The 8,754-nt window shown below is 39.4% G+C and overlaps 1 long non-coding RNA gene across 2 annotated transcripts in view; it reads left to right on the forward strand.

Moving 5' to 3' along the window:
- Positions 1 to 966, forward strand: part of LOC101928721 (uncharacterized) — a 60,301-nt gene extending 59,335 nt beyond the window's left edge. For both annotated transcript variants that reach the window (NR_188351.1, NR_188349.1), the window contains exon 5: positions 193 to 966. This is a non-coding gene — a long non-coding RNA (uncharacterized LOC101928721). The remainder of the gene's footprint in view (positions 1 to 192) is intronic.
- Positions 967 to 8,754: the final 7,788 nt, after the last annotated feature.

Genomic DNA, 8,754 nt, shown 5'->3' on the forward strand with positions numbered 1-8,754 from the left:
CATAACAGACAATCATGAAAAAGGTCAAAATATTTTCTCTTTTATGCTTTATAAGCTGTGCTGTAATTGCTGTGAAGTGAGTTTCTTTCCATTTTCTGTTCAAAGTCTTCTGGTTTATAAACTGTTGTTTTGTATGCACAATGAACTTAAAATGTTAAATTTTCTAATTTGATCTGATTTTATTTTTGACAGATCCTTCCACCCCACTTGCTGATACAGCTTCAACAAAGAAGGGTGTTCACCAACTGACTACAAGAATCATTGCTAACCAGGGATGACTCATTCTCACATCCATCCTAAATAGACTTCCTTGGATACAAAAAATCCAGAGTTTGCCGTATCTCCATGGACACTGTCATTTAGACAGGACACTTACTTCTTGGGAAACTCACTTCCATTTTCCTAATAAGGTTCCCTTTGAAGACTAAGAATTTCTCCAAGACAAAATTCATGTAAGCCAAAATACCAGACATCAGGCCTGTAATTGTGGTCACCCTGGCCACAGCCAAGTTGTCACCTTCACTCACGATCATCTTTCTGCCCTCTGCTACTTGTAGAATAATGATCATAAAGTATTGTTGTCTGAAGCCCCTTTAGAAAAGTTGATTTACAGCAGCCCATGAGAGAGGTAGATTAGAGATGACCAATGTCCTGAGAACACCAAGAAGCACTCATCTTTGATTCTCAGGGCTTGACATTTCAGAAACAAATCCAGACACATTATAATAATGACCCTGGTCCATTGTGAGCCCATTAGAAAACACTCACAAATAAGTATTCAAAATTTTCCAGTTATTTTGACTCCTAAAAATGTCTTCCAAGATATATCAAAGTTTCCGTAATTTTGCAATCAACTTGGTTTTTATTTAAACCAAGTAGCAACTCTCTCTGTAGCAACCCTGACTTTTCTTGTTATTAAATCACTCTATAATTAAATATAAAGTTATTGGTGACATTCACAGAAAATCCTAGAGAGTATGGAGTTCTTGCTACAGAAGATATACTTTATTGAAATGTAAAAGAAGTCAGTTAAATTTATAATTTCAACTTGCCCAAACATTTAGCTCAAAAGTAGTGATCTTAGTTTTGACATTTCTTGCATTGGACTCAAGGCTTCTAATAGATTACAAGTTCCTTTTATTGATTCAACACATTATTATTGAGTAACCTTTGTTCTAGACACTGGCAAAGTTAAAATAATAGCAACATAAACAAAAGGTCTTTTCTTACTGTTTAATAGGAGAAACATATTAGATAAATGATTTTAATGCACTGATATAAAAGCTATAGTTATCCAACTTCCTTTTATTGATTCAACACGTTATTATTGAGTAACCTTTGTTCCAGATACTGACAAAGTTAAAATAATGGCAACATAAACGAAAGGTCTTTTCTTACTGTTTAATAGGAGAAACATATATTAGGTAAATGATTTCAATGCACTGGTATAAGAGCTATAGTTATTCACTGAACAACTGGGACGACTTGAGCAAGTCACTTGATCTTTCTGGACCTCACTTTTCTTTTTTTTTTTTTTCTTTTTTATTTGTTTTTGTTTTTTGAGACGGAGGCTCGCTTTGTCGCCCAGGCTGGCGTGCAGTGGTGCGATCTCGGCTCACTGCAAGCTCCGCCTCCCGGGTTCACGCCATTCTCCTGCCTCAGCCTCCCGAGTAGCTGGGACTACAGGCGCCCACCACCAGGCACGGCTAATTTTTTTGTATTTTTAGTAGAGATGGGGTTTCACCGTGTTAGCCAGGAAGGTCTCTATCTCCTTATGATCCGCCCATCTCAGCCTCCCAAAGTGCTGGGATTACAGGCGTAAGCCACCGCGCCCAGCCTGTTTTTCTGGTTTTTTTAGACCTAGTCTTGCTCTGTCGCCCAGGCTGGAGTGCAGTGGCATGATCTCGGCTCACTGGCAGCCTCCGCCTCCCGGCTTCAAGCAATTCTCCTACCTCAGCCTCCGGAGTAGCTGGGAGTACAGGCTTGTGCCACCACGCCAGACTAATTTTTGTATTTGGTAGAGATGGGGTTTCGCCATGTTGGCCAGGCTGGTCTTGAACTCCTGACCTCAGGTGATCCACTCGCCTCGGCCTCCCAAAGTGCTGAGATTACAGGCATGAGCCATCGGGCCCGGCAACAGTTTTCTTTACTGTAAAATTGAAAAGCAGTACAGGGGCTAACAGTGCTGACAGCCATTGAGACTTGGTTCAAGGCCTCCCTCTGCGCACACTGGCTGTGTCACATGGGGCAAGTCACTTAACAGTTTCTTGATTTGCAAAACTAGGATATTGCTATGATCTGGATGTTTGTGTTTCCCCAAAATTTGTACATTGAAATTCAAAGTCCCAAGGGGATGATATTAGGAGATGGGGCCTTTGGGAGGAGATTAGGCTATGAGAGTGAACGCTCATTAATGGGATTAGTGCCATTATAAAAGAGACCCCAGACAGCTCATTCACCCCTTGTCTATGTAAAGACACAGCAAACATAGGGCTGTCTCTGAACCAGGAAGCAGACTCTTACCAGAACTAAATCTGCTGCCACCTTGATCTTGAACTTCTCAGCCTCCAAAACTGTGAGAAGTAAATTTCTGTTGTTTATAAGCCACCCAGTTTATGGTATTTTGTCATAGCAGCCTGAATACACTAAGATATTAACAAAATAATAGTTTTGGACTAAATATTTTTATTTCCATTTTCTAAATGTCATTTTGGAGCAAGAAATTTGAGAAAAAGATCAAAAATAAGTTTTCATACATGTATATAATAGTTCAGGCAATTCAAAGGATGCCTTCAGGACACCAACTCGTTGTTTTACTATAGGCTTTGAAATGATGAAACCAAGAGGAGCGGTTTCACTCACACTTTACCAGGAGGCTTTTCTGATTCCTGCAGCCTGCATTGATCTCTCACATCTCTGGACTCCTAGGCTGGGCATGGTGACTCAGGCCTGTAATCTCAGCAGTTTGGGAGGCTGAGGTCAGGAGTTCGAGATCAGCCTGGCCAACATGGTGAAACCCCATCTCTACTAAAAATATAAAAATTATCTGGGCATAGTGGCACGCACCTGTAATCCCAGCTACTCGGGAGGCTGAGGCACGAGAATTGCTTGAATACAGGAGGTGGAGGTTGCGGTGAGCTGAGATTGCACCACTCTACTCCAGCCTGGGCAACAGAGGGAGACTCTTTGTCTCAAAAAAACAAAACAAAACAAAATAAAAACATCTCTGGACTCCTACCAACAACACAGTCAGTGCAACATATTTTAAATTTGTGATTCTTCTACTTATTCATGAAGTCAACTAAAGCAAGTCAACCAACAGTTTTCATCCTGTTTCTTTGGTGTCAAAATGAGAAAACTAATATCACTCTCATGGGAATGTAATAAGACTAAACTTTGGTAATTACAAAAGCACTTACGACAGTGCTGGGCACATTGTAAGTTCTCAAAAAACGGTAGCAGTTCTTGGGCTTTCACACCCCTATATTCTCTCTCTTATACACCATGGTATTTTCATATCCCCATGGGGAACTATCATAAAACCCACAAGAACGTGGAAATACCTGTTTCTGAGATTTCAGCTATAAAATCATCACAACATAGATCAAACTGGAGATATTCAAAGTCAGCCTAAAGATATAAAATGACTTTCAAGACAGAATAAGTCATTATTTGTGGTATTACCTGCAAAATTAAGAACGCATAAACAGGCAGGCCGCAGTGGTTCAAGCCTGTAATCCTAACACTTTGGGAGGCCGAGGCGGGTGGATCACGAGGTCAGGAGATCAAGACCATCCTGGATAACACAGTGAAACCCCGTCTCTACTAAAAATACAAAAAAAAAATTGCCAAGTGTGGTGGCAGGCACCTTGTAGTCCCAGCTACTCGGGAGGCTGAGGCAGGAGAATGGCATGAACCTGGGAGGCAGAGCTTGTAGTGAGCCGAGATTGTGCCACTGCACTCCAGCCTGGGCATCACAGCGAGACTCCATCTCAAAAAAAAAAAAAAAAGCCATGGAAGGGAAGTTGGTGGTTCATGGTTTTGTCAGAATGCTTTTGGATATATATTGCAAAAGCCCAACTCAGATAATAAGAATGTGTGGGCTCATTGCTATGGTTTGAATGTGTCCCCTCCAAAATTCTGTTGTTGCCTGTGTGACACTTACAAGGAGGTAGGGACTTTAAGAGATGATTAAGCCATGAGGGCTCCTTCCTTATTAGTGGGATTAAGACCCTAGTAACAGAGGCTTCACACACCCTTAGACTAGCTTGCTTGCTTGCCCTTCTGCCTTCTACCATGCGAGGATACAGCAAGAAGACCCTCATCAGGCACCCAATGCCAACGCCCTGATCTTGGACTTTCAGCCTCTAGAACTGTGAGAGATACATTTCTGTTCTTTATAAATTATCCCATCTGTATTATTCCGTTACAGCAACATAACATGAACTAAGACATTTAGCTAAAACTTTGGGGGAGATTATTTTCAGGCACTAAAGAACCAAGTGCTCAAATAATACTACATGAAATAGTTCTCCCTCCAATTCTCAATTTTTATTTCCTGTATATTGGTTTCACTATTAGGCAAACTCTCATTTGAGGTGATTGATAACTACTGCCAGTTTACATGGACTTGACTAGCATCCTCATTACAAACATTCTTACAAAGTATTTGATCTATTAACATGGAATCCCACATAATATCTTTGTGAACACACAAAGAAACGCACTTTATAGTGAAGCAGGTAATGCTATGTATGCACAAAAATGAAATTCACTGGTCCTAGCACATACCACACCAACTAGCAGCAGCTGGCCTGATAAGCAGTGATATGGCCATTTGAAAATATCTCTGGGTCACTGACTTGGGATGATGCCTTTTAAGGATGGGAGGCCACCCTCTAGGAAACCATATGTATAAAACACTGATGACTATTGTAGGTGCTGGTGCTGTGTCCCCCATAGTAGAATACACAGTCTCAGAGCCAGGGAGTGAAAATAGAAATGGCCTCACTCACCATCACTCCCAAGGACCCATTTGGGGAATCTGTGTTTCCTGCCCTGTGACATTAGCTTCTGTGTGTCTGAAGGATCTGGTTCCCAGAGGGTATCTGTGCTCTCCATTCTCACAACTTTAAGCTCTAAGGGTCTAAAGACCCTGGTTTCAGCAGTGATGTTTCTACCAGAGGACAGAGTGAGGGTCATATTAAACTTTGTTTCTGTCCAGTCACTTTAAGCTGTTCATGCCAGGAGAACAGCAGGCAAGAAAAGGAGTGACCATTTTGGCAGGGCTGGAACACAGTCACCAGGAGGAAGTCAGGGAGCTTTCACATGTTGGAGGCAGAGAAGAATACAGTGAGCACCCTGGTGGCCATGGTGGTGTTTCTTGGTGTTTCTTCCCCTGCCCAGTTTTGATGATAAAAGGACAAAGACAACAGCCATGGCCTGACATGGGCACTGAGGCCAGAAGTCTGCTACCCAGATCCCTCCTTTGGAACTAAAACACGTTCATTCTCACAGCTCCTAAGAGAGTTGGCTACTGATTTATCACAGCTGAGTCTCTCTCTGGGGCTTTCCCTTGACAAGGGAATTACCCCAAATTATCCCTGTTTGATGCATCTCACTACCAGAGCTCTCCCAGAGGCCTCTGTTGCAACCATTTGATTTCTTCCTCTGCCACATTTGATTTCTTCCTTTGCCCAGTTACTCCTTCCTCATTTAACTTGTAGGCGATGTTCTTCAGATCACTCCCCAAAACACCCCCTGCATGCAAATCTTTGTCTCGGAGCTGTTTTCCTGGGCCCCTGACCTGAGACAATAGCTGACATGTATGGAACGCTTATTATGTGCTATATATTTTATACATATTAACTCAATCAATTCTCACAAAAAGTAATATCCCCATATGACAGATGAGAACCTTTAGGTTTAGAGAGGTCAAATGACTTACATAAAGCCTGGTATGATGATCTGAAAATTACATTTGGAACAAATATATTCATCGGGTTGGCTCTTATGGGAATTTGGAATTCCAGAGTTTTTCATTATCTGCAAGTGCATCTGATGATCCATGACCGTAGGAAATTGTAACTGCTGAGGTTCCATTCATGCCACACATCTTCTGAAATGATTAGTGACAGTGCCTGAGAGGTCATCTAGTGGCCACATCTCAAGGGAAATTTATTGTTCTCTACTTTTTCTTGTAAGCTATAACCTCAGCATAGAATGCATTTAACTACTGAAATATAAACATTTGCTCTTAGCTAAAAGAAAAAAATGAAATAATTTTTATTAGAAAAGACAAGGCATGGAACATTCTATCCTCCCTTCCACTTAATGAGCAGGAACAAGTGAGTGAGTGGGGGTATGGATCTGCTGCTACCATTTCCATCACAGTACTAATTTGCATGTCATAGTGTAAGTAGAAGATTTTAAGAAAATGTAAGGGATTTTATGGTGGTTAAAACCAAGCCCCCATGAAGACAGGATGACATACATTTCTTAAAGATTTAGGTTGTTCCCTCACAAATTGTAGTGGTCAAGTGTAATTGTTGTGACCAAATAACAGTATACAAGGCTGATGAAAGGTAAAATAAAAATGAAAAAGATAGATGTTAATATTTACTGACTACTTAGCCCTATACAAGTGTCTTAAATCTTCTTTTACCTCAACCCACAGTAAGAAATATGTTTTCAGAGTTATCTGGTATATACATGTGCGTGTAGGTCTATATGAGAAACTGAAACAAAAATTTCACCATCCAATACATACCCTTACTGTATATGATATACTCTGATATTTTCCATTATATTTGCATGTTATTAAGTTGTTTGCTACCCATTATATTGATTTTGTACTAAATGTTCATGAAGAACATTTGAAATCACTGCCTAATGCCAAGACTCTTGATATGCATTTACTAATTTAGCACTTGTGACAACTTTCCAAAAAACTTATTACTATTATATTATTTTTTTCTAATAAAGTACAGGTTTTAACCTATATCCTAAGGTCTCACAACTCATAAATGACAGGGTTGGAACGTAAATCCTACTAAATTATTTCAGACGTGTTTCAACCTCTTGGTCAGTGCAAAATGCTTAAAAAGAAGAAGAGACACAGAGAAGAAAAAATGAAGAAATATAGGTGTTTCCTCTATTCATTTTCTTTTGCCTCTTATATCAGCTGCATGATCAGTTCTAGGAAAGGAGATAAGGCTAGAAGATTGCACCAAACTCAATGCAGATGCCGATAACTAAAGGCAAATTGTGACCTTGCACCTCATGAGAATTTGTGGAATTCCATATACAGCTCAGGAAAACTTGTTTCCTTATCTAGTTAATGTGGTTTCTAATCTCTGAGCAGCAGGACACAGAGGTACAGATGCTGGTGTTTTTCATCATTCTAGTTTTAAGCACTATTTCTTTTGCTTCCTGAGAAGTAAAAGAGCTGTCAAGTCAATCAATACTCCTACTGACTCTTTTCTGGAAATCAATAAGGTGAGAACATTTGTCCTGATGTGACTTAAGCACTTAATTCACTCCGGAGTCTTATGGATTAATCCAAATGTATTGTGATATAATTCTCGAGCATACACAAGTTTTAGTGTGTGCTAGCATTTGTGAGAAAGATGAATTTTTTGAGGCCCAGGTTTTCCTTAATCAGTTCTGAATGTGTTTAGCAATGCAATTCCTATAACCAACACACTGATGCAACTCTGCTGACAGAGCATCTTCCTCTCCATGCAATTTTTTTCTTTCCTACTATTTCTCAAATATGTATTTTACAATGAAAATATATACCACAGTGGTTAATGGTAGCTGTGAATTAATGTCTTTTCTGGTGGAGTGGTGGGGCAGAGATAGATTTTCATGGTATCCTGTAACAAAGAAGAAAAAGCAATTTTAGACTAAGTTTTTACAAAATATCTATAGATTTAATGTTGTCCCCATCTGAATCCCAACAGAAATGATGTAAAACTGACAAAGATTTAAAAAAAAATAAGTAAAAGAGGAAAGAGCAAGAGTAGCTAGATTGTTCAAAAAGATGAAGAAATATCTCTCTGTGTGTGCTGGAAGCTGGGGGACACTTGCCCCAAGACAGTGGTTCCCAAGCATTGCTGTGTAGCGGAATCACCTAAAGAGATGAAAAAGAACTCTGAGACCTAAGTTTCTTGAGATAGGCTGACTCATGCCTTTGTGGTTTTAAGTTCCTGGGTGATTCTGAAGCTCATCAGGGTTTGAAAATCACTGCTCTTGTAGACATCCAAACAAATTCTAAAACTATAGTAATTAAACCAGAGTGGTATTGGCACAGGAAAAGATAAAAAAAAAAAAACTAAAGGAACAGAATATAGAAAGTCTAGAAACATACTGGCCTATATGAATTCTTCATATATAAAGGCAGTGAATTGCAGATCAGTGGGAAGGGACTACTCAAAATTGATGCCAGGACAATAGCATCTACATTACAATAAAATTGGAGTCCAAAGATAGAGAAAACTAAAAATATAAAAATAAAAATTTTAAAGCTTTTATAATAAAATAACCTTATGACCTGTAAGTCCTTAGTGTAAGGAAAGACTTCTTAAAGTTTATAAAGCACAAATTACAAAGAAAACATTGATAAGTTTTCACGCTAAAATTGAGATTCTTTCAGCCAAAGGCACCATAAAAATGAAAACAAGTAGCCACAAAGTGACAATAGATATTTGTAACACATAGGATTAGTATGTGTTTAGCAGACTTTAGAATACG

The sequence above is a fragment of the Homo sapiens genome, chromosome 4 (genome assembly GCF_000001405.40).
Source record: "Homo sapiens chromosome 4, GRCh38.p14 Primary Assembly".
Taxonomy (NCBI): Eukaryota; Metazoa; Chordata; class Mammalia; order Primates; family Hominidae; genus Homo; species Homo sapiens.